The sequence below is a fragment of the Homo sapiens genome, chromosome 6 (assembly GCF_000001405.40).
Source record: "Homo sapiens chromosome 6, GRCh38.p14 Primary Assembly".
Taxonomy (NCBI): Eukaryota; Metazoa; Chordata; class Mammalia; order Primates; family Hominidae; genus Homo; species Homo sapiens.
In genome coordinates this window covers 149,259,396-149,286,324 of record NC_000006.12, presented here as the reverse complement: position 1 = coordinate 149,286,324, position 26,929 = coordinate 149,259,396, and the positions used below count along the sequence as shown (strand labels likewise).

General features: G+C 40.2%; 1 protein-coding gene across 1 annotated transcript in view, besides 3 other annotated features; it reads right to left on the bottom strand.

The window, feature by feature from the left end:
* TAB2 (TGF-beta activated kinase 1 (MAP3K7) binding protein 2) overlaps positions 1-26,929 on the bottom strand; it is a 193,682-nt gene that overhangs the window by 125,283 nt on the left and 41,470 nt on the right. The gene's annotated exons all lie outside the window — the stretch shown is intronic.
* Positions 14,297-14,346: a silencer, noted in NCBI's record as "silent region_17657". NCBI's record gives its function as "represses an Ori minimal core promoter by ATAC-STARR-seq in GM12878 lymphoblastoid cells {active_cell/tissue: GM12878}" and the evidence as "EXISTENCE:reporter gene assay evidence [ECO:0000049][PMID:35858748]".
* Positions 14,877-14,976: an enhancer, noted in NCBI's record as "active region_25251". NCBI's record gives its function as "activates an Ori minimal core promoter by ATAC-STARR-seq in GM12878 lymphoblastoid cells {active_cell/tissue: GM12878}" and the evidence as "EXISTENCE:reporter gene assay evidence [ECO:0000049][PMID:35858748]".
* Positions 19,506-19,706: a silencer, noted in NCBI's record as "peak6210 fragment used in MPRA reporter construct". NCBI's record gives its function as "represses an SCP1 promoter by STARR-seq MPRAs in K562 erythroleukemia cells {active_cell/tissue: K562}" and the evidence as "EXISTENCE:reporter gene assay evidence [ECO:0000049][PMID:32103011]".

Below are 26,929 nucleotides of genomic sequence, written 5' to 3'. Positions count from 1 at the left end.
TACAGAAACAACTTGTATAGAGATGTGCACCATATCAATAATATTTGAAAATAGTTTTTCATATTCTGTGCATATATTGCATATGGAAGTCCATTGATACCAACTGGAATTTCTTCTAACTCGCAAATCTTAAGACCATGACGTTAATAACAATTAAATAGCAGTGTGTAATTAAGTTTGAAAAACTTGATTGGAACTACTTACTTGATAAAAAGATACTTTTTTGGTAGTGTATACCTCATTTTTAAAAAAGAATAAATTATTTTAAAGAAACACTAAAATAATTTATAAAATATATTTGTGGTCCTTTTCTTTCCCTGGAAATAAAAGTAAAATTTAGTTGTTTTGAACTTCATAGTGTATTCTTTAGAGCAGTGGTTCTCAACGTGCGTTCTCAGAGCGGCAGTAGATGCATCACCTGGGAACTTGCTAGAAATGCAAATTCTCAGGCCCCATGACCTCATGAATCAGAAACTCCAGGGAGGTGCCAGCAATCCATGTTTTAACAAGTCCTCCAGGTGCTTCTGATGCATGCCTGAGTTTGAAAACCATTGATTTAAGATTTACAAGCACGTCAGTTTGTCCACCTACCCCAGCCACTTTCACCTGAAGCCACTGGCAACCAGGTTGAGGTATAGAAGGGGTTTTTCTCTCTTACGCGCCTTCCTTATCCACATGTTTGGAGAAGTCACTCAGTGTACTAGTACATGGCCATATGTGACAAAGAGGGTATGTAAGTATCACACAAGTTTCAGAACCATCTCCCTCTTTCACACCTTATGTGGTGGAAGGATTCCTTGTTGCTTCCAGATTTTGCAGTCAGTAGGGGCAACAAGTGGAAATGTATAAAAACCTGAGGAGGAGGTAGATCACTTTGTAGAGGATGGCCTTAGTCCTACCTCTGGATGATATGGGAGACCACTCCCCTCTAAGGAAAGGCTGAGTTGAATGTACAAGACTCCAGCCTCCAGGCACAATTGTCAAGTATTTGAGGGTTGTCTTTGGTGCCTTCTAGCTTTCTCTCTTTACCCCCAGGGGTCCCCTGCTTTTGGTCTGCCCATTAGGGTACTGTTGGCAATAACTAATATTTCCTGGGAGACTACCCCATACCCTGTTGAAGAGCACAATGGAGATGACATCATTTAATCCTCCAACAAACCAGGAGAATGTAGCCTCTTAAAAACATGACTTAGAGAGGTAAAATAACCTGCCCAGTGTCACAGAGATATGAGTCAGTGGCTGAACAGAAACCAGATCGTGGGATCCCAAAGCATGTGTATGTAGCAGGCACATCTTTCATTTCTATGTGACAGTGCCCCAGATTCCAAAACAGCGCTCTCCTGCTCCTTGCAGCACCTCTGAGGTTGTCATCCTCGAGGCTGCTGGCTCTGTGGGCATTAGGAAGGTGTGGGGATGATGGACTTGGCAAAATCACACCAAAGGGAGAGTGACAATAATTCAACTTAACCAATCTCAGGGCTACTTGTATTTAAAAAAATAAAGGCTTAAAGAGGCAGTTCTTTAGATGTTAATTTAGGGTAGTTTTTCTAGCAGTGTAGCAGCTAGATGGATAAATAAGGTATGCCCTTCAGGCAACTGCCCATGAGTTGGGATAGATTGTTTATATTCTTGTGTGTGTGTGTGTGTGTGTGTGTGTGTGTGTGTGTGTGTGTGTGTGTAAAGAGATCATTCTGTGGTAGATATGAATTTACTCAGAGTGAAAATTAGATCTAATTTTTTATTAGATGCGACCTCCTCTTAGTCCTGAAAGCATCCTCAAAACTAACTAAAAAAGCTCTTGTTGAGCACGTAATATGTGCTCGTGATAGGCACTGTGGATACAAAGATTGACTTCAAGAAACTCACCATTTAGTAGGGGTTCTAGAGACAGAACACTCTATAACATTGTTGGGACCTTGATGGAAATATTCACAGGGAAATATAAGAAAGACAGGAGAAGCACCTTGCCTACCTTGGGGAAAGTCTGGGATGGTTTCCTGGTGGTGGAAGTCACCCATTGGTTTAGTCTTGAAGAATGGTTACAGGTCAGCGGGTAGAGGTTGGCAAGAGGCACTCAGGCTGGGTATGTGGGGGACAAAGCATTTTGGTGTTGCTGCAGCACAAAGCCCGTGGTGATGCAGAGAGTGGTGAGAAACTTCACTGGAGAGGTATGATACTTTTAAACCCTGTGTCTAAGAGCTTTGGTTTGCTGCTTTGGGCCATAGGAGTCTACTAAATGCTCTAAAAAGAGAAGATATATAGGTCAATTTGCATTTTATGTATATGCTCTGGCAAAGGAGTGTAAGTTCAAGGAAACCAAATGGGAGGGAAGGATGTTGCAGTTAATCATTGGTGGTTAGAGCCTACTGTTAACACACTTACAAAATTGTCATAACTTGTGTCCTGAAATCTTGAACTATTCACCTCATTGATTTTAGTGATTTTTATTATACTTTAAAAATGTTTTTAAAAAAATTAAAGTAATACACACATGTAATTATAAACCAGAGTCCCCTACCCAGCCCTATTCAACTCTATATTGTTCCCAAAAGTCACCACTTCTCCTTGTTTCTTCTTGTAGTATGTTTTCTGTTTGTTTGTTTGTTTTGTTTTTTAGACAGAATTTCTCTCTTGTCGCCTGGGCTGGAGTACAATGGAGTGATCTCGGCTCACTGCAATCTCTGCCTCTCGGGTTCAAGTGATTCTCCTGCCTCAGCCTCCCGAATAGCTGAGATTACAGGCGTGCACCACCTTGCCTGGCTAATTTTTGTATTTTTAGTAGAGACGGGGTTTCACCATGTTGGCCAGGCTGGTCTCCAACTCCTGACCTCAGGTGATCCACCTACCTCAGCCTCCCAAAGTGCTGGGATTAGAGGCATGAGTCACCATGCCTGGCCCTTCTTGTAGTTTCTTCTATACCATCAAATGACATTCTCTGTCCTTACTTTGTGATTTATTAGTTATAGGTATTATCAATTGACTTCCTGTCATATCATATGAAGATATAACTTACTGCCTCCCATCCTCCCATATTTTCAATGTATTTGTGTTCCTTTTCTGGCTCCTCTATCCATTTGCATGGATCATAACCTGAAATCCATGGCTTCTACTTTCTACACTCACTCAGCATTAAGCAAGAAGTGCAGGCCAACCCTAGCGGGAGAGCAGAGGGGAGCTGGTGAACGGTGTCACCCGGGGAGCCTCCCGCACTAAACCCCTCAAACGTACTAACTGGAGGAACATTTAGTTTATTGAATAAATATTAAATCACTCTTTCTAGTTAGCCACTTGTGAATCTTTTTTAAAATTAAGGAAATAAAATCTTCGTGAAAGGTTTAAAGAATTAAAAAAAAATTGATCCCCTAAGCTGTCCCAGCCAGTTGTATATTTTGACCCAGCAGTTAAGAATGCTGTTTTGTGATGTATTATGCCCCTAAGTGGGTGGGAAGATTTTGGTTTTTGTCTGAAGATAATAAGAGCTGCTTCCCCCAAGAGTAATGACAGCCAATGCTCCTTCAGTGTGTGACGAATTCATGTGACTCAATCATAGCTTTAGGATTTGTTGCGGAAAGACAGTAAATTGCTGTTGAATTCATATTTGTTCTGACTGTTGCCCTAAAATACGATCTGAGAATCAGTGAATAATGCTCTTAATCACACATCTCTTCCTTTAATTATTTCTCACCTCATTCTTTTAATTTCTGATTTAATTTCCTTATGGTCAGAGAATATACTTGTATGATTCGAATTCTTTAAAATTTTTTGAGATTTGCCTTATGGCTCAGATTATAATCTAACTTGGTAAGTGTTCCATATGTACTTCAAAAGAACGTCTATTTTGTTGTTGTTTGGGGAGAATGTTCTATAAATAGTAATTAGCTCATATTCCCAATATATTTATATATTATAAATATATGTGATAGTTTTGTTGGAGTCTTCTATATTCTTACTGACTTTCTATTTATTTGTTCTGTTAATTATTGAGAGGGATTGTTAAATTCTTCAATTATAATGATAGATTTGTATATTTCTCCCTACAGTTCTATCAGGTTTTGCTTCATGTGTTTTGAAGCTTTGTTATAGACGCATAGACATTTAGGATTGTTATGTTTTTCTGATGAATTGACAACTTTATCATATAAAATGACATTTTTTTTTTTTGACAGAGTCTTGCTCAGCCGCCCAGGCTGGAGTGCAGTGGTGCAATCTTGGCTCACTGCAACCACCATCTCCCAGGTTTAAGCAATTCTTCCGTCTCAGCCTCCCGAGTAGCTGGGATTATAGGCACCTGCCATCATGCCTGCGATCCAGCTGGTTTTATAAGAAATGCAAGTTTCCTTTAAAGTTAGAAAATGCATAAATGTAATTGATCATATTTTTTTCCAGCTTTCTTTTGATTAGTGTTAGCATAGTATATTTTCCCCATCATTTTACTTTTAATCTTTTTATGTCTTTATATATAAAGTGTATTTTTTTTGTAGGAAACATATTGTTGGGTTGTGCTGTTTTATTCAATTTGACAATCTTTGCCTTTTTCTTTTTCTCTTCTTTTTTATTAATCACCAATATTCCTCCTGGGAATCTTTGTCTTTTAATTGGGTTGTTTAGGTCCCATTTACATTTATATGATTACCGATAAGGTTAGGTTTAAATTGATCACCTTGCAGTTTGTTTTCTATTTGTGCCATGTGTTCTTTGTTCCCCTCCTTTTTTCTTTCTATATCTCCCTTTGAATTAATCAAGTTTTTTTTTTTTTTTTTTTTTTTTTTGAGATGGCATCTTGCTGTGTTGTTCAGGCTGGTCTTGAACTCCTGGATTCAAGTGATCCTCCTGCCTCAGCCTCTTCAGCTGGGATTACAGGCATGCACAACTGCACCCAGCAATGGAATTAATCAAGTATTTTTTACGATTTCCTTTTGTCTCCTTTGCTGGATTATTGGTTATAACTCTTTGTTATTATAGTGGTTGCTTTAGAGTTTATTGTTTATAGCTTTAACTCTGCTCAGTCTACTTTCAAGGGATATCGTACCAGTTCGCATGGAGTATAAGAACCTTACAATAATGTACTTCCATTTCTACTTCTCCCTGTCTTTCTGCCATTATTGTTATATATTTTTCACATGACTCTTCAAATATTTTTATAATATTGTTATTATTTGTATTTAAACAGTCAATTTTCTTTTAAGGACATTTAAATAATATTTAATAAGAATAGGAAAAAATCCTATATATTTACCCGTGTATTCATTCCCAATGCTCTGCACTCCTTTGTGGAGTTCTGTATTTCCATTTGGTATTATTTTCCTCTGTCTTAAGGACTTACTTTAGCATTTCTTGCAGTGTGGGTCTTCTGGTCATGAATTCTTTCAACTTCTTTTTTTTTTTTTTTTTTTGAGACGAGGTCTCATTCTGTCACCTATGCTGGAGTGTAGTAGCACAATCATGGCTCACTGCAGCCTTGGTCTCCTGAGCTCAAGCAATCCTCCTGCCTCAGCTTCTCAAGTAGCTGGGACTGCAGGTGCATGCCACCAGGCCTGACTAATTTTTTGTAGAGATGAGGTCTCACTTTATTATTCAGGTGGTCTCAAACTCCTGGGCTCAAGTGATTCTCCTGCCTTGGCCTCCCAAAGTGCTGGGATTACAGGTATGAGCCACTGTGCCTTATGTCTGAGTCTTGATTTTACTTTCATTTCTGAAAGGTATTTTAGCTGAGTATGGAATTCTAGGTTGACAATTTTATAGATTTTATCAAATTTGGAAAACTTTTTGGCCTGTTTTCTCATCCCTGATATGTGGACAAGATGACTTTTAATGTATCCTCTAGCTCAGCGTTATTCTATTTGAGAAGATGAATAGTAAGGGTGAAGAGGGGTTAAGCACCATGCGGAGGAAATAAAATGGGCTTTGAAATAAATGGGCTCCTAATCAGGTGTGACTGCCTTAGAAAGATCACTCTGACAGTTTTAGTATGGATTGAAGATGTGACATAATAGTAATGACTGTATTTATAAGCATTCCCTCACACTGCATGAGCATCCCATATATTAAATCATTTAATCTTCACAACCAACTCATGAAGTTAGTACTGATAACATTCAAGAAGAAAAACTGAAATTTAGAGAGTATAAGCAACATGCCTAAGAAAGAAACAAGAAAGTTGTGGAATCCAAAGTGGGAATTCCAACTCAGATTGTCTGATTCCAGAGCCTGCACTCTGATTACTACAGGTACTGGAAGCAGATATTAACTTAGGAAGTATATATAGCAATAAATTAGGTAAGATGTACAATAATAAATAAGAGGGAGGAATTGATTCGAAAGCTTTTTAATGGAAAGAACTGCTGACTGGATGTGTGGCAGTAAGCAAAGAAAGGCAGGCATGAGGTCAAACTGATTTCCAGATCTCTGGCTGGAAACAACTTGGATGACTGGTGGTATCATTGAGATGAGGAGCACAGAAGGGGGAAATAGGTTTTGATAAGAAAAACAAGTTCAGTTTTAGACATTTAGAGGTTAGAATGTTTGGGGGACATACAGGTGGAGCTGTTTGAAGGGCAATAGGATATGTAATAACAATGCACATCTAGCTTTGATGGAAACTAAATAAAGGAACTTGAGATTCGTTAGCAAGTAGCAGAAATTTCTCAATCTTGGGAAAATTGGCATTTCAGGCCAGATATTCTTTGTGGTGAGATATTTCGGGCCAGATATTCCTGTGCGTTGTAGTATGTTTGGCAGCTTCCGTGGTCTCCACCCTCTAGATGCCGGGAGCACCTCCTCCAAATCCCATTGTGACAAGCAAAACAATGTCAGACATTGCCACGTGTCCCCTTGAAGGGTAGAAATCACCCCCAGTCACTTGAGAACCACTGGCATACAGGTAGCATTTAAAGTCACGGGAGAGGAAAAAATTACCCAGGGTAAGCGTATGGAGGAAGAAGAGAGAGCAAGAACACAGCTCTGGATAATACCAACATTTAAGGATTGGGAAGGAAGAAGTTGAGCCAGAGAAATGGAGATGCTGGAGAGGTAGGAGTGGAGAAAGACTGGTGGAGCTGAAACCACATGGAGCAAGTTTGAAGGAGGATGTGGTACACAGTCAAATGACACAGAATGGTCAGGCACGGTGAACACTGAAAACTCTCCAGTAAGGTTTGGCAATGAGGTTGTAGGGGACCTTATGAAGAGAAGTTTAAGTGGAGTGATGTGGGCAGGAGCCAGATTTCAGTAGTTTGAAGAGTGAGCAAAAAATGAGAAACTGGAATCAAGGAATGGACTTTGTCTTGGTTTGAATTTAGCTTGAAATGGAATGAATGAGGTTCACAATAGCTAGAAAGGAAGGTAGGGTCCACGGAAACTTTATTTCTTCTTTTATCATTTGTTCCTTCTTTCATTCTTTATTTTTATATTGTGGGATGGGGTTTCATCGTGTTGCCCAGACAGGTCTCGGACTCCTGGGCTCAAGTGATCCTCCCGCCTCAGCCTCCCAAAGTGTTGGAATTGCAGGCATGAGCCACTGGTCCAGCCCCCTTCTTTCATTCTTTCATTTATTTATTCCTTTCCTCTTTCCTTTCACCCTTCCTTCCTCTACTTCTCCTTTTTTCTTCTTTCTGTTAAGATAAGAGAGTTTTATAAGCTGGAGGGAATGATATGCGTTGTTATTTCCCAAACGCATCATCTTTTGGTTTACGGATTCCTTTGACCTTAAGTAACTCCCCTCTTGTTTGGCTTATCGGAATCTTAGCCATTCTTCAAGACTATCTCAAATGATACCTTCTTCATCAAAGTTCTCTCTGATCCCTCTCAACTGGATGAGATCTTCTCCTCCTTCATATACCTGTATCAATTTGTCCCACTTTTATTAATACATTACTCTTCATATTATGTATTGTGTTAGAGTTACATATACAGTTGTTTTATTCTCTAACTAGTCATATGTTTTGGAGTACAGGGGCAGTATATATTTGTTTTATATTTACAGCCTAAAACTCATAGCTTATGGTAATGACTCAAAAATTTCTTTACAAATTTGAATTATGTCCCTTTGCACTCCAATATTTGGAAAACCTTCATGGAAGAAGAGTTCATATTTTTTCTCTTATGCATTGTGTATATTTATTACAACAGGTACAAATAATATGTTGCTTGGAATGATAATTATAGTAACCTAGCTGTAGAATTGTAAATATGAGATTTTATACATTGGTAAGAGAAAATACAATGATTAAACAAAGAGACTCAGAGTTAGGACTCAAAATTTTCTTCTTGGCATGTCCCTGCAGGAGACAAATTAGCTTCGCTAGGGAGAAATAATGGCTTTCAAGCTTCAAGTTCTGTTATTGAATTAATTTATATCATTAATATGTTTTTGAAAAGTGCTGTATGTAACTAGGACTAAATGTGTCACAAATCATGTCTCTAAAACTACCTCCAGACTATTTGCAAGTTAAAACTATATCAAAATACTAAAATGAATATGATGCCTTTAATTCTGATGTTTCTGTTTTGACTCAGTTAAAGGAAATAGAAAATGTAATGACTAATAGATACTATATGGTAGTACATTTATGCTTTTTATCTGAATAAGAATTCTGCAGCACAGTTAATGGCCTTCCACTTCTCACAAGGTAGAGTTTAAAAATGTATTTGATTTTTTGAATAGGTATTATAGTACCTATTTATGTAGTTCTAATATCAAAAGGTATAAAAAAGTATTCAGTGAAAGTAGACTCTTGTCTTTCATTTGCCCAGTTCCTACCCCTCACCCCATCTCTCATCCCCAATTGGTAATCACTGGTGTTAATATTTGGTTTGTCTTTCCAAGCACTTTAACATATATTTATGAACCAATTTCTATCTCCCTTTTATATTAATGATATGTCTACTACTCTGCATCTTGCTTTTTATCTTAACAGTATATTTTAAAGATTTTCTGTATCAATCTATAAAGAGCTTATTTGTTCTTTTTTTAAAAAAAATAGCCACATGGTATTTCATTGTAGGAATGCATCTTATTTTATTTAATCAGACTTTTCATTTATAGACATTTTCAATCTTTTGCTATTACACACAAAACTGCAATGAATAAACTTATACTAATGTTATTTGCATGTGTATTAGTCTGTTTTCATGCTGCTGATAAAGACATACCCAAGATTGGGTAATTTATAAAGTAAAGAGGTTTAATTTACTCACAGTCCCACATGGCTGGGGAGGCCTGACAATCACGGTAGAAGGCAAGGAGGATCAAAGTCACATCTTACATGGATGGTGACAATCAAGAGAGAATGAGAGCCAAGTGAAAGGGGCAACCCTTTATAAAATAATCAGATCTTGTGAGACATATTCACTATGAAGAGAACAGTATGGGGGAAACCACCCCCATGATTCAATTATCTCCAACTGGGTCCCTCCCACAACACGTGGGAATTATGGGAGCTACAAATCAAGATGATATTTGGGTGGGGACACAGCCAAACCATATCAGCATATATGTGAGTATCTCTGTAGGATAAATTCCTAGAAATGGAATTGTTGAATAAAAGATATAATCATTTATAATTTTGATTTTGCCAGATCGCCTCCATTGGGGTTTTACCAATTTATGTTCTCACAACAATGTATGAAGGTGCCTATTTTTCCACAGCTATGCCAATATCACTTTTGGGTTTTTATGAATGTGATAAAAATACTATTCCACTTTATATAATTCCTCTTATGAGTGAGGTTGGACAGCTTTTCAAGTGTTTAAAAGCTGAAGGTAGGATTTTTAAAAATATATAATTGATTTATTGACCCCTAAGAAATTTGGAGTTTATAGGGAAGTTACAGAAGGAAATTTTCAAATCATTTAAACATTTTTAGCCATCAAATTCTTGTTAAAGTAAATAGATGTTTCTTAGAATCACTGAGTACAATGTCTCATCGCTAGCACATTAATATCTCCTGGATAACATTTTGGGCTTCCAATAGAATACAAACCAATATATAGAGGTATAAACCAATTAACATATTAATACTCTTTCCAGACATTATTACCACTAAGCTATATCTGCCTTTGTGATAAATTGTCCAATTTTTAGTCCATTATATTCATTTCTTTGAGGCTTAAAATAAACCCAAGAGCCTTCTATATTTTAAATAAAGTTTATTTTTTGAATAGTTTCAAATTTACAGAAAAGTTGTGAAGATAGTAGAGTTCTCATATACCCACACCCAGTTTTCCCTATTATTAACCTCTTACGCTGGTGTGGCGTATTTGTTACTATATGAACAAATATTAATACATTATTATTAACTAAAGTCCATACTTTATTCATTTCTTCAGTTATGCCTAATGTCCTCTTTCTGTTTCAGGATCCTACCCAGGATACCACATTACATTTAGTCATCATATCTTCATAATCTCCTCTAGGCTAGCAGTTTCTCAGATAACCTTGACAGTTTTGAGGAGTACCGATCAGGTTATTTTGGAAACGTCCCACTGTTGGAATTTGTTTGATGCTTTTCTCCTGATTAGGCTGGAGTTATGGGTTTTGGGAAAAAGACCACATAGTCAACGTGAGAGTCTCATCACATCACATCAAGAGCACATACCATCAACATGACTTATCACTGTTGATGCTGAGTTTGAACACCCAGATGAGGTAGTGTTTGCAGGTTTCTCTACTGAAAAGTTACTTTTTCTCCTCCCTTCTGTAGTATAGTGTTGAAAAAACTCCCTCTGCACAGCTCACAGTTAGTGAGTGAGAAGTTATGCTCTACCTTCTTGGGGAAGAATCTACATAAATTATTTGGAATTATTCTGCATGATAAATTTGTCTCTTCTTCTCCATAAATTTATTTATTCAATAAGGTATATACATCAGTATGGTCTCAAGGATATTGAGTTATCATTCAACTACTTTATTTATTTTGTTGCTCAAGTTGTTCCTGCCTTGACCATTGGAGCTTCTTTCGTTGGCGAGTGCCTGTGTCCCTTTGAAATACCCCATCCCTCATAATTGTGCTCTTTTCTTTTTTCTCTTTCTTTCTTTCTTTCTTTCTTTCTTTCTTTCTTTCTTTCTTTCTTTCTTTCTTTCTTTCTTTCTCTCTCTCTCCCCCCTCCCCCGCCCAAGGGAGTTCAAGGCTCAGTGAGCACCACTGCACTCTAGTCTGGGCAATAGAGCAAGACTCCAACTCAAAAAAAAAAAAAAAAAACAGAAGAAGAGAAAAAAAATTAGGGAAATGAATGGGATATTGTTACAATATCAGTCCACACCTCCAGTTCTTTGTTTTCTTCATCTAACTCTAAGCCCTTGTCCTGCAGTGGGGTGGAGAGAGAAGCCAGACATTCTGTTTCTAACATACTTGGAGCCCTATGCTCAGGGCTACACCAGGGTCCAGGGGTCTTGTGGAGCCCCAAGGCACTGGAGCTGGTTCTCTCTCTGGCCTGGTTACTGCAGAGATGCCTATAGTCGTAGCCCATGTGGTCTTCTTCGGTTCTAATGCTCTATGACCTTGTGCCACACTTGGGGTGAGAAGAGGGTCCAGCTCTGGGTATAAGTGCAGCCCCCACTCTGGCATCAGGCACTACCTAGGGCCTTCCAGAAGCATTGCCTTGGTCCTCACTTTGTCTGGAACTCTGATCTTCCTTTTTTCAATGAAGGCCCAAATCATTACTCTTTTTTTACCCTTTCTCAAAGGACCTTTTCCTCCAGGACAATGAGTATAGCCTCTTTAAAGAACTTAGCCTTTTTCAAAAGAAAGGGAATTATCTTGCAGGAAGCTTCTGCTTTTGGCTCTGTAACTTCTTAGGCATCCCATTATCACAGGGCATAAAATTGTCTGGCTACTTGCTTGAAAGGGTAGAAAGGGAAAAATACAGGGAGGACAAAGCCATGATAATATTTCAGTATGGCTCCTCCCATAAACAAATATATGGGTATGGAAAGCTAAGGTAATAAGCTGCTTTCAATTAGAGTTATGGAACAAGAGAAACATTTTCTATGTGGTTGTAGAGTCTGTGACTCCGTTACTGAGAGCAAGTGCTCAGGTCACATGACATACTTTAGCAACAGGATCCCTTAACCGGGTCAGTTGCTCCTGTGAGGCCTTTGGGTGACTGAGGGCAAGACCACCCAGCCATAGCAATTCTAATGCGATATTATTTATGTCACATGGAAAATTGATGGTTCTGGGCCCTGGGGCAAGATTCCACCACACTTTTGAGTTATGGATTGAGGTCATTTTATGATCCCACCAATGATATTGGTCAATAGAAATATTATACTTTGAAGACAACTTGGTGAGGTAGAAGAATAAAATTATTTTTTCGCTAATCACTGCTTTCCATTACCATCTGTCCAGTCTTCTTGCTATACTAAGTAGCAGCAGATTTTTAAGACCTCTTGGGCTGATCCTTTCTAGTCACTTCCAATTTATTGAAATTAGTTCAGTTTAAACTCAAATCTCACATCTCATGTAAAACTTTCTCTGTGTCCCATTACAGGTCAGACTTCTGGCAGAAAGGACATTGAACACGGAAGGTGTGTGTTCTGCCCTTCTGTTTTCTTTCATCATTTCATTCTGAGGGACCAGAGACAAAGTAGGGGCACAATCCCAATCTCCTCATGTTGGTTGTTACAGCTTCTTTTGCTGCAATGACCTGATGGGCTGTGGATGCTGTCTTTGCGGCAGGCATCCAGAGGCTGATTTGCCCACAGACTTTTCAAATAAGTTTTAGGAGGCTATGTGACACTTCCTCCACTGCACAGTTCCCTTTTTGGAAAGTCTTGCTCTGGCCCACTCTGGTCCAGCCTCCACAGCACCTGGCCCTGGCAGTTTGCCCTTGCTGCCAGAGTTCACTCACTTGGTGGACAGATCCTCAGAGCATGGCACTGACAGGGCAGCTTCCTCCCAGCCCGTTTTCACGAGAGCCACTCAACCCACAGGAAACTGAAATGTTTGTTCCATGCCAAGAATAGAAACGCATGCCTCTCACTGCTGCCCTTGTCTAAGACCTGCCATTTCCCTCCATCTTCTTTTTCCCACCTCAGCTCGGCAGAGAGGAGCTCATCAATTTCACCATCTAAGGATGCCATTCTTGACTTTTCTATGTACCTCTAATATTGAGTTTAGCCTTGGCATTTTGGGCTGAATAATGCTTTGCTGCGAGGGGCTGTCCAGTATCTTGTAGGATGTTTAACAGCATCCCTGGCCTCTACCCACTCGATCAGTGGTCCTCGATGCTTTTGTCGCCAGGGACCAGTTTCATGAAAGGCAATTTTTCCATGGACATGGGGCGAAGGGTGCGGGGAGGTAAGGGGGTGGGGGTGATGGTTTCTGGATGAAACTCTTTCACCTCAAATGATAAGGCATTAGATTCTCATGAAGAGTGCACAGTCTAGATCCCTCACGTGCAGTTCACAATAGGACTCATGCTCCAGTGGCCCCAGGGTTGGGGACCCCTGCACTAGATGACAATTGTGACAATCTAAAATGTTTTCAGATATTGCCAAAGATTTTGTGGCAATAGCGTGACCAACTTTCCTGATGTCAAGTCTAAAAATCCCATGAACTGGTAAGGGATGCAGAATAATGTCTCCCTAAAGCTGACCACAGGCAAATCCCCCAAGTCTGTGAATATGCTACCTTATATGACAGAATGGACTTTGTGGGTGTGATTAAGTTAGGCATCTTGAGATGAGAAGATTATCCTGGATGATTTGGGTGGGCACATGGTAATCACAAGGATCCTTGTAAGAAGGAGGCAGCAGTGTCAGAGTCAGAGAAGGAAACGTGACAACAGGAGCAGAGGTTGGAGCGATGTAATTGCTGCCTTTGAAGATGGAAGGGGCCATGAGCCAAGGAATACAGGCAGCCTCTAGAAGTTGGAAAAGGCAAGAAGTGGATTCTCTTCTAGAGCCTCCAAAAGGAACATGACCCTGTCACCACCTTGATTTTAATCTAGTGAGACTTCTGACCTCCAGAACTGTGAGATAATATGTCTGCGTTGTTTAAGTCCCTACGTTTGTGCTAATTTGTTAGAACCAAAGTAGGAAATGAAATCATCTGGGAAACTCTTCAGTCCCAACCTAGACTGGAATTGTTGGTCATCCCATCTGGGGAGCCAAATTGCTCCTGCATGAGAAACACTCCTCTAATTTTTTAAAGTGGTTTTCTTGAGCCTTGTTCATTTATCTTTGAGAAGGGATATAACCTGTTTTTTTCCCTTTCTCCTAGGGTGGGGAAGGAATGACCTCTTACAACAGAAAATTACATTCCTCAGAAGGGCAATTACTCAATGACTTCCTCTTACTTCACTAACTCAGTCTTTGGGGGGTTGGGGGTGGGGCTAGGGACTGTGTGGTGTGGGTTTTGTGTGGGCGTCTGACACTGTTGATGCTCAGCGTCCTTCAGAGTGTGAGGCCACTTAACTCCTTTCTGTCTTCAGCTTGAAGTGAGCAAAGGAACATCTTATTCAACTTTCCGTTAACCTCAAAAGTAACTTTGAGTTTGCAAAAGGCAGCTTCTGCTTTCTGGTTGTCCGTGAGTATGAGTAAGAAGATCTGATTTTAGTTACCACACCTCCATTTCCTCTCTATGCTGGACTGCTATGTGATCCCCTACGTAGACTCTTCCATAGAGTAGGGTTTTAAGCAGAGCACATGATTGTCCAGCTAAATAGTTCATTTTCAAGTTTTCTGAGCAGCTAGCTGTAGATAGGTAACTAATATGTGGCCAAAAGGATGTTAGTAACTTCTGGGTCATGTCCTGTAACTTCTGGGTCATGTCCTAAAAAGGAAGTAGCTTGTGCTCTGCCTTCTCTTTTCACTCAGGTAGAAATGCAGATAAAGTGAGAGTGAATTAACTTTAACTAACAGATGAGAACAATAGGCCCGAGGGTAATAGAGCCACAGGCTAGAAAGAACCTGGGTCTCTGGATGACCTCATGGAGCAGAGCTTTTTTCTTACCCTTAGGTAAGATTAAGTTATGTACTAGCACACCAATGAAATTATTTACATCCCTAGAACAGGAACCCTGTCCATTATTTTTATGTGTGTTTTACAGAGCAGGAGTTTCCAAACACAGTCAGGTCAATAATATTCTTTTTTAAAAAATATATATATTTTTTAGAGATAAGGTCTCACTCTGTCACTCAGGCTGGAGTACAGTGGGGCAATCATAGCTCACTGCAGCCTCTAACTCCTGGGCTCAAGCAATCCTCTTACCTAAGCCTCCCAAGTAGCTAACAGTAATATTTTTGACAGTATTTTCAACTAAGTCAAAATGAAAAAAAAAAGAATAAGGTGCAGAGAGATAGAGCGACATGGCAGCAGATTCATTCCAACTTCAGGGCTTTCATTATTATACCACCCCGTAACCCTCTGACTACCCAGTTTTTTGCAACAGCAGTGGATCAGTAATACTTCTCACTCTTCAAGACCAGAATCCTTCAAGACAGTACCTCCTCTATGTCATCTTCACCACTCTTTTATGTGATACACTTCCTCTAGATCCAAAAAAGAGAAGAAACTGAAAGACAAAGCTGGGCGAGTTGACCATGTGTACGTCGGAGAGGCTTGCCCCAAGCTCTGGATAATACATCACTGGTGCCATGTGCATCTGTGATGAAAATGTGCAAGGTCTGGATTCTAAATGTTGTTTTAAAAATGTGTTAATTTTTACTTTTTAAATTGACAAGTAAAAATTATATATATTTATGGTGTAAAACATGATGTTTTGATAGATGTATAGATTGTAGAATGTTAAATCTAGCTAATTAACATGTTCATGACCTCATATACTTATCATTATTTTTGTGGTGAGAATACTTAAAATCTACTCTCTTAGCGGTTTTGAAGTATTCAATATACTGTTATTAACTATAGTCATCGTGCTATACAATAGATCTCTTGAACTAAAGAAAAAAAGGAATAATGCAGTGGTAAAGAAAATGAAAAGCCACAGACTGGTAAGAAGTACTTGCAAAACATATATCTGATAAAGAACTAGTGTAAAGAACTCTCAAAACTCAATAATAGGAAAACCATAGAGCCCAGTTAAAAAATGAGCAGAAGAATTCAACCAACATTTGATCAAAGAAGCTACATGGATGGCAAATAAGCACATAAAAAGATGTTTTACATCGCTAATAATTAGGGAAATGCAAATCAAGACCACAAATACCATTAAACACTGAATTGGAATAGCTAAAATAAACAAAAATCAACATTATCAAACATTAGCAAGAATTTGGAGCAATTGGAACTCTCATCTATTGCTGATGTGGCTGCAAAATGGCACAGCCCTTTGGAAAACAGTTTGGCAGCTTTTTGTAAAGTTAAATGTATGCTTGCTGTAGGACCCAGCAATTTCTTTCCTAGGTATTTACCCACGTGAAATGAAAACCTATGTCCACACAAAAATCTGTATGTGAATCTTTATATTGACTTCGTTTGTAATCACCAAAAACTGGAAACAACCAAATGTCACTCAGTTGGGCAATGGATAAACAAAATGTGATACATTCATGTAGTTGAATACTACTTAGCAATAAAAGAAACGAATTACAGATATATGCAACAACATGGCTATATCTCATATATACCAAGTGAAAGAAGGCAAAGACCTTATCCTGTATGATTTCACCTTATGAAACGAATGATACATGATAATCTTGCAAAGGTAAAACTACAAGGACAGATAACCAATCAATGGTTGCCAGGGGCTGGGGTAGGGAGAGGAGTGGATTGCAAAGGGGTGAAAAGGAATTTTTTAGGGTGATGTAACTGTTTTACTTAACTATTGCATCCTGGTGGTGGTTACACAACTCTATACACTTTTCAAAACTTGAAGAACTGCACAATAAAAAGGGTAAAAATCTACTTTAATCTTCTGTAAATTGAACCTTAATATAAAAAAGGAAAAAAGAATAATATAGTGAATTTTTAATAAAAGTATTCAATTTAAAAATGGTATCTATCACATACACATAATTCATAGCACTAGGTTGTTGATAACCTAGCGTAACTTCTTTTACCACGTCAAATAGGAGAAAATAGGTCCTAGGCTGTGAGGCTTTGGCTTGTTGAAACTCTGCTATTTACAATTTACTCAAAGGATGTATCATTTTATTCGCAGCACAAAGGCTAATGAAACAGCTTTTATTTAGGTATTATGCCTCAGACTCAATTTTCAACAACCTTAAATAAAAACAATGTTATGTCTTTGTAGTCCCAGAGAATGCTAATCAATTCAACTCAATATCCCTGAGTATACTTATGTATTGCACAAGGAACCTAAGATTCAGAGGGGATAAAGGAATAGCAAAGGTTCCACAGCAGGAGCCCCTTGTACTTTGATAAAGATTTGGAGGGTTTCCAGCTCCCAGACTCATGCTTAGTCCACTAGGTCACTTTGAAAAGTAATTTGATATGAAAAAGATCGACTCATTCTGTAGCTAAGAGAATTGGAAACAACTACTGTACTGTGTGTATGTTTTATAAACAAGTTTTTATTACACAAGCAGTATATGTTCACATGTTTAGTGTGGAGAAATTAGAAAAGATAGTCATATACAAGAAATTGCAGACACAATGAATGCATACTCCACCACAGCAAGTGTCGAGAAATTCTCTTCTTTGTTACATATACGAAAGGAAGAAAATAAATATGATTTGCTAGGCAGTGGTTCTCCATGTATGCAAAGACACCTCGTGTTATTATTTTAAGGTGTTACACTGATGTTACACTAAGTCCAATTGCTCCGAGAATTTATCCAATGCAAGGATCTCACAGTCATCATAAATGTCAACATTTTCCTTCCACATGCAGCTGTTCTTTGAGTCTCTGTCTTGCTCTCTCTCTATAAATGTGGTTCATGAAAATGATGAGAATTAGAACATTCATTCTCACCTCTTCTGTAGTCTACCTAGGACATGAGTTTTAGGTGGGCTCATGGCCACTCAGAATGTTATTTTTCTCCCAGCTGGATGTGGACCACGTGACTAACTTCTGGATGTGCTTTTTCTCTTTTTTGTTGCTGGAATGCTAATGGGATGGCTGGGGTGGAGCAGCCACAGTGGACCGTGATGCGGAGCTAAGACTAGCAGAACAACCGAGAAGGAGCCTGGGCCCTTAGCACTATGGATGGAGGGCCACATCAGCCCTTGAACTGATGACGTCTGGGTTTCTTTTTGGTGAGCAAGTGCCTTCATGGTTAAGCCACTACCATTTTGACTTTTCTGGTACTGAAAGCCAAACCTAACTCTAACTAGTACATTGGCTAAGAGGTATTAATATTTTGGAGAGTATATTTTGCTATAGCTTTTGATTTTCATATTTTGTTTTGGGTGATGATACTAATTCATTAATTTGACATTTACCTATAGTGGTGCCACATAATGACGTTTTGGTCAACAATAGACTGCGTATACGACAGTGGTCCCGTAAGGTTATAATACCATATTTTCACTGTACGTTTTCTATGTTTATATATGCTTAGGTAGACAAATATTTACCATTATGTTACAGTTGCCTACAGTATTCAGTACAGTAATATGCTGTACGGGCTTGTCACCTAGGAGCAATAGGCTATACGATATAGCCTGGGTGTGTAGTAGGCTATATCATCTAGGTTTGGGTAAGCACATTTTATGATGTCCGCACAACGATGAAATCACCTAACGACGCATTTCTCGGAGCATAACCCTGTTGTTAGTGACACCTGACTGCAATGAGTTCTTGCTGTTTGTTAGAGACTGTTTTGATGTAGGTGATATTGCAATGAACAAAACAAAAATCCCTACCCTCTTAGAGCTAACTCTCAAGTGGAAGAAGAGGCAATGAACAACAAATATCTAAATATTTCAATATCATGCCAGTTATCAAGCTATTGTCAAGCTATTTCCTCAGCTCCAAATCACCCTCTTCCTCTGGTTCGTGACACTGGTGCAAGGACCCTGCAAAACACTTTTGTGCTTTGGTCCCTGGATCCTTGTTGTGTTCTGACAATAGGAGACACGGGAGGTTTCCTGGACAGCAGGAAGAGGAAGAAGGAATCTGGATGCTGTTTCCTGTTTGCCTTGCAGACCAGCCCCAGCTCATCACATTCCTTCAGAAACACCAGCATCAGCTACAGGTGCCTCCTTCTTAGTTGTCTGAGACTAACCTCCCAGTCTCCCTCAAATCTCCTCTCTCCTCTCCATTCTCACAGGCACGCATTTCATTCAGGCATTCACTGGTCCTTCTGCCTTCATTCATTTTTATTCCCCTCCAATATATCCTCTACTTCCCGCATTGCAGGAAGCCTCATCTCCCTACTTTAATCTTCTAAAATTCAATAATTTCCAACCTCTTTCTTTTGCTCCCCCAGCCCTAGGGGTGAGAGCTACTTTCTGCTGTTGTTACATTCATGAAACTGGGGTGTTCCCCTTTTGCATTTTCGGTTCTACAATCCTTTATGTTCGTTTCTCCCTGTAAGATGGCTGGTGTGGGTTTTCACTCAACCAGACCCTGACTGGTACAAGGTGAGATTGTGTCACAATGATAGAGACAGGAGATGATGTCTCCAGAGGTTCATTATGGCCTCCCAGACAGGGCTTTCAGCAGGCGTTACTTCCAAGAGCCACCACATTCGTGCTCTAGCTCTTGGCTTGCTAGGTTCACGAACCAATTTGGTCAGGGTGCCTGGAGTTGGCCAGGTTCTTAGCGATAGGTCTGGGCAAAACAAACTTACAGGGGATCAAGCTGTGGGTTATAAGCCGATCACTGTTTTGTTAGATGATGTGAATTTGGGCAATCCAGTCTCTCCGTTAGCCTTCCTCTCTTTTTATGTAAGCCTACACAGGGACCCAAATGTGGTCAAGGGCCCCTCAGTGAGCACGAAATCCCAGCAAAGGGAAGGAGTGGGGTGTTCTCAGCAGTGAGGTGACCAGGTTATGACACTTGAGCATATTCATGTCTACTAAGGGACAGTCTGCCAAGTGGACCAGAATGCTTCTGTTCACTGGCGAGGACAACTTCTCTCCCGGACAAAGACACAGACACACGTACAAAGACACAGACACACGGACAACCTGTGACTGCTTGGGATCCCTTGGGCTCCTTTTTGCGAGATTTCACACAGGTCAGTCCTTGTACGGTTCACACATCCTTTCTGCACATGCATTTGATTCCTGCTTTCTTTTACATCCAATGAATACCAGATGATAGTTTCTGTTCCTTTAATTGTTTTGACTTATCTTCTAAGGTGACTTATACTGAAAGCTAATATCACTTAATTTGAGGGCATAACATTATTTCCAATTCTGAGGGTGGTAACATTTGCTAACACCCAGGAACGGGCTTCAGGTCCTCAGGACCTCTGAGGGGAAAGGCATGGGCAGACATTGTAGTTAAGTGGAACGCTGACAAAAGCCGAGAGCAGGGATGAACATTCCTCGCTCAGGGGCAACCTCCCAGTTGGCTGGAGAAGAGAATTTATGTGGGACCTGCGGTGGGTGACTGATGCGGGTCAGTGTCAGATTGTGGAAAACTTTGAATTCCAGGCTAAAGAGTTTGTACCTTATATAGGCAATGGGAACCAAGGCAGGCTCGCGCGTGGGGCTTGGGGCGTTGGCGTTGAACCCCAGTCTTACAACTCCAAGTTCAGTGCTCTGCAGAAAGCCTCTAGGCATAAGCCCCTGTTATAGTCCCTTTATTCTACTTTTCATAAAACTTTACTTTCAGTACAGATGCTGGGTGGAGCAGTGCTTGAAGGGGTGAGTGGTTGCAGGGGAGGTGGGGGCCAAGGAAGCTTAAGGAAGCAGGGGCAAAAACACAAACAGAAACCACAGAAGAGGAAAGCGAGCTATTGGTTATGATTTCCATTCCTGTGGATATGAAATGTTATCCCAATTGTGGGAAGCTGAGAAAGGCCGCAGCAAAATAAAAGAGAAGCAGTCTCATTAACAGTGATGTTCAGATGTTGGAAAACAGCTAAGGTGTAGACTTACGTTATGGAAATATCCTTAACCTCAAACAAATTCCAAGAACATTCTAAAACAGAATGCTGGCAAAGCTGGATTTGCTTTGTAGGGTCTTCGCCATTAGAGACCCGCAAAATTGTAAACCTTGGAAACTGCTGTGCTTTAAAAAAAAAAAAAAAAGGGTTCTGAACTCTTGTCATTTAAAACGCATTTTTTTCCAGCATTATTTCAAATGAGTCAAAACTCTCCCTCCCTCTTTCCCTCTTTTTTTTTTCATTTTCATAGACTAAATTTGTCTAAATCAGATTTAGAAATGATACAATTCTAAAGATGAGTATATCCTAAATTCCCAAGCCACTGCAGTTTCCAAAGGTGCAAAAGGTTTGGGTAAAAACAGCAGAATAGGACCAAATGGTTTATGCTTCTTCTACCAGCCCATCCCTGGAAACGTGGCCACACGGTGTCTTTCCTGCAGTGGCTCACACGTTCTCATTAGCCACTACAGTTCTTCTCTGAAGCCAGTGCTGCCGGTACTTCATCTGCTCCCTTTGATCTTTGCTGTTTTCCGCTGTGGCTTGCCTTGCTGCATAATGGGGCAGGTGGCTGCCATGCAAACATTGTTCCTGTCACCATCCCTGCAGGGTCACTGATGTTGATGTCATTCCTTAGTCTCCTACTCTGCTTCCTGGTTTCCTTCAGCCATTCCTGCACTGGGATGGAATAAAAACTCCTGCCCCAGAAATACATTGAATGTTTGATAGCAGAGTAGGGTGTCTGTTTTAAAACGCACTGTACTCGGGTGGTGGACACCCTAAATACCCTGACTCGATCACTACACAGTCTTATACATGAAGCAACATTTTACAGGTGCCCCAGCAATTTTTACCAAAAAAAGTAAAAAAAATTAAAAACCAAACAAAACAAAACAAGAACTCCTTCCCCAACCAGTGATACAGTTCTTTATTAGGCCTCCGAGGGAGGAGGTCTTGCTACTGGTCCCAAGTATTAGTCACTAATTATTAGCCATTAATGTCAGAACTCTCATTTGACTTGGTCTTGGAGCTTCTTATTAAATCCCTCTGTCAGGGACCCTGGCACACATTCCTTAGGGAATGGGAAGACATTGCCCCTTTACAGTGGAGTCTCTGCTCCAAGCAAGGGTGCCATGAGGCCAGGGAATTTCCAGGTCCCTAGTACTTGCCAAGGAGGCTAAAACGTGACTCCTCCTTGTTCAGGAGACTCAGACCAGCGCTACCTGCCCATTCTGCTGGGTCCTCGGGCCAACACAACCTACAGCGGCCTGCCTGTGCGTCTCTGAATTCCCATGATGGGCATGCAGAATAGGCATTGCCTTCAGCATAAACTGAGACGCATTCACTTGATCCTCCCTGGGAGCTGGCAGGAGGCAGTCTGGGAAGATGCCATGGAAAGAAGAAAATGACCCTGCCAGACTCTCCAGTTTCCAAAGTCAAGAAGAGATCTGGTGCCCCAGAACTGCCTGCCTACTAGGCAGCCTACAGAGATGGCAGCCTGTGAGAGGCATGTCTGCTACGGAATGCTTGGGAGACCTCCTGGGCGCCAATGCCACTGGCCTGTCCCATAATATTCTTTAGCAATTCCTTTTAGGGAAATTGTGTGCCTGGCTCGTAGAAGTAAAGGAGCCTATTAAGTTACTCTGTATTTTCAGGGCAGAGGAGGGACTATTTTTCACCATTTGGGGGAAACTTTGTTCATGCCGTTCATTTGGAATATTCTGTTCATCTCCATATGTTGACATCTTACCAACCTTGTATGGTTTGCTTAACATGGCACTTCTTCCTTGAAGCCTTTGCCAGTTCCTGCCCAATTCACCTCCTATGCACATTTTTCATATCATAAATTACTGCAGGGTGGTGACTGGTAAATCTTGGCTTTCAAACAGCATCAACATAATGTTTTGTGCAGAGCAGGCTGCCAAATGAAATTGAGGTTTCTGTGTCTGCATAGTAATAAGAATTTGTTAAATTTAGGTAAAAAAAATTGTTTCGATATAGATAACTACCAATTTATTTCTAATTTAAAAGATCTGTTTTTCTGTAACAACTATAAAATTGTTTTTTTCCCTAATAAGTAACAATATTTTAACAGCTCTGAAAATTAAACATGATTATCAAAACCTCTCAGCATTTTTGCTTTGCCTAAATCCTGGAGAAAAAATACACTATGAAATTTGATCAGTTGAATGCTCTTTCCCCAAAGAATATTTAACTCTTAGAAAGAGTGAAGAGAGGCCAGGTGTGGTGGCTCATGCTTGTAATCCCAGCACTTTGAAAGGCCAAGGCAGGAGGATCGCTTGAGGCCAGGAGTTCGAGACTGGCCTGGGTAACAGAGTGAAAACCCACCTCTATAAAAAATAAAAAAAATTAGCTGGGCACAATGGTGTGTGCCCATAGTCTCAGCTATTTGAGAGGCTGAGGTGGGAGGATTGCTTGAACCCAGGAGTTTGAGGTCACAGTAAGCTACAATCGTGCCACAGCACTCCAGTCTGGGTGACAGAGTGAGACCCTAAAAATAAAAAAATAAAAAAAAGAAAAAGGAAAAAAAGGAGTTAAGAGAATATCAGCTCCTAAATATTAAGTTTCTCTTGGATTTAATTTTTACATATGGGACAAGCTCATGGTGGGAGTTGAAGATGATGGATGTGATGTGGATTTGCTGCTTCTTGAAGTCCTGCTGTTTTCACTAAATGGCAAGGATTTGCATTCAGCCAAGGAACAAAATCCTCTCAAGGTCCTGGCTATTAGCTCCAAATTTATTTTGCCAGGTGACAACTCTAGCATATGAGATTTTTTTTTTTTTTTTAGACCGAGTTTCACTCTGTTGCCCAGGCTGGAGTGCAGTGGCACCATCTTGGCTCACTGCAACCTCCGCCTCCTGGGTTCAAGTGGTTCTCTTGCCTCAGCCTCCCAAGTAGCTGGGATTACAGGCACCCACCACCACGCCCAGCTACTTTTTGTATTTTTAGTAGAGACGGGGTTTCACCATGTTGGCCAGGCTGGTCTCAAACTCCTGATCTCAAGTGATCCTCCCGCCAGGGCCTCCCAAAGTGTTGGGATTACAGGCATGAGCCATCATGCCCGGCAGCATTTGAGATTTGTATGTAGAAAAGCAGATCTTGAAATTACTGACTTTGATGCTTGGTATAGGAGTGTGGCTATCATTGAGAGCCTCATCATCTTCTTTGCTTTACACTATGTAAAACTTCTCTGCTAAAAGTTCAGGCACCCTAAACATCCACACATTTCCACTAGATCTATTTCCCTTAACTCACAATTCCCTGGTAAACATGTCATTTCTTCAAGAAGTAGGGATTTTGCTGAGCTTGAACTGCTATTCAAGATCACATTTAAATGACCTCTGACAATCAAAGTCCCAGCTGCTTAGAGACAAGAGTCCTGACCTGAACTGGGGTCTTTAGAATTTGGATTCAGAGCTACTGCTGGGTGCTAAATTTATTCCCCAAGGGAGTAAATTAGCCTGAGTTGCACATGCAAGGCAAGGCCAAGCCTGATTCATGTAGTTGATTATAAGTTATTTTACCCTGGAAACTACTGTGTCTCAGCTGGATCAGCTTAACTTAGTTGTTCTCTAGAGGAGACATGATCCCTCGTTTCTCTTTTTCCTTTTTTCGTCAACAGTCAGACATCCATGGGGTGTTGTAGCCTTAGACATCAGTTAGCTATCATTAAATATAATTTGGAGCTTTAACAATGCTGTCAGTACACCGTGGGATTTTGTCATCACTTTACTATTGGTTAAAATCTCTTTCACTTATGGAGACTTTGCTCCCTTTCATCTTTGTGGTTGCCAGACTTGTAGTTTGTTTTTCTGTTTAATAGAAACCTTAGAATCATTGGTATAAAGTGAAGTACGCTATGAAAAACACATGCTTTTTAAAATAGTTCTTTTTGTCTTTAAAGATGAAAATACTGTGCTTTCATCTGTTCCAATACCAGTAAATGCATATTTTATAGCATCTCCTTTAAACTCTTCAACATGATAATTAAAAAAATTTTTGTATACCACAGTCAACTTTCTGAAACTGCTTTTACATGCCTCTTCATTTTCCTTTATATAGAAGAGATGTTGGATGTGAAATTTCTGTAGCAGCTAAGAGAACTCTGAAAAATTTCAAATGCTAGCAAAAAATCTTAAATTTCTATAGATAGAAATGTGGAAGAATCAAAGTGTGTTAGCTCTTTTGAAATGTATATTTCTTGCCTTGCTTTTCCTTGAACTCTGAAAGGCCCATTTGGAGAAAGTGGATGAAAAAGGGCCTCTCCATTGATCTTTCTAATTAGAAAGAAAATTCAAATTCAGAGCTGCAAACATGACTTAAATGCATGTTTAATCCAGAGGAAATATAGCTTCAAATTTTTTAATTTTAAGTATTTCAGGGCCCTAAACATAAAAATGCATTGTCATTTACAGAATGATTTGGAAATTGTACATTTCATGTGGGAAACGAAGGTTTTGTTTTAAAGGCCGAATAGCATACATAAAGTTCATAACTCAACTACAGGTCAGTACGTGTCTTTCATACATATACACCTGTGTCATTGCCACTCAGATTGAGACAGAGCACACTTTCAGCACCCAGCAGGCTCCCTTCTCAGCGCTTCTCAGTGAATACCACGCCACCCTCCAGCCCCCGTCCCATAGATTTCGTTTTGCCTATTTTTGACCTTCACAGATGTGGAAACATGCCCACCGTGCTCTTTAGTGGCTTCTTTCAGTCCACACGATGTTCATAGGATGATTTGTCCATGATGTGTGTAGCAACAGTTTATCCTTTTTTTCCTCCATGGGGCTTCCTAAAGATGGGCTTCTGCAACAGCTCTCCTCCGGAGACATGAAGGGAGCAATACGTATAAGGAGTGATAGCAGACAGAAGCCAGCTTCGCTTTATTTTTAGCTGAGCAAATGCCCGGTAAGGCCTTGTACCGCACTCCCCACTCCAAAGCCGAACCCTGAGAAGGCTGCGCTGGAGCACGCGGTGGGTCAGGCTTTCAGCTCAACCTCTCTCCTCCCGTTCCAAACCCACTTCTTGGATGTTACGGTCACCTGGCCAGCTACCTGCACCATGACTGGAATTGTCAGGCAAAGGAGAGTGATGCCAGGGGCTGTCCTGATGAGGTGGTGCCTGAGCCGGTTTACCTCTCCCTTTACATGGAAATGAAAGATAATGAACAGTGGCCATGTGTGATATTTTAAAATCCAACTATCCCTTCCCAGAACAAGCGTGGCCTGGCCAATGCTCACATTTGAAAGCCATCTTGGTACTTCCTCTTGGGGATGATTGAGAAAGAGGGCAGATAATGAGGCAAAAGTCAGGGGAAAGGGGGCTGGTAGTCTTATATTACTCACATGTATTTTTTTAAATGGTCAGCATCTATTTGACTCTTGACTATAGAATGAAGTCTTACTTCTTCTTTCACAGAATCCCTGTCATGGGCTACAGTGGAGGAACCAAGGGGAGGGGCCAGGCTATGTCCCGGCTCTGACACTGATGAGTGGAAGGGGTGGCTTTGGGCCACTTGTATCATGTCTCTTATTCCTCATCTGTAAAATGTGGCAGTTTGACTGATGGACCTCTCAGCACCATGGAGAAGTTTTAAAGGTGGCAAATAACACATTTTACACCTTCAGGCTCTCCCCACTCTTTTATGAATAAGCATCTATAAGACAGGATGTCTAATTCTTCTGGAGATTCCTGAATATCCTGCCTTTGTCCAGGTTGGGCAATGCTAAATGCCAGTTCTGACCAATGGTGCAGGTATTAATTTCACAGTGAGGATCTTGTTTCAATGTATTTAAATTAGGTGATGTGGAGATGGAACATTCTGACAGAAGAGTTGGGACAAAGTGACAGATATAAGCCCCCTAACATCTATATGTTTCTCAGTGAGACTCAAACTGCTTCCCTAGGCTTTGCAGA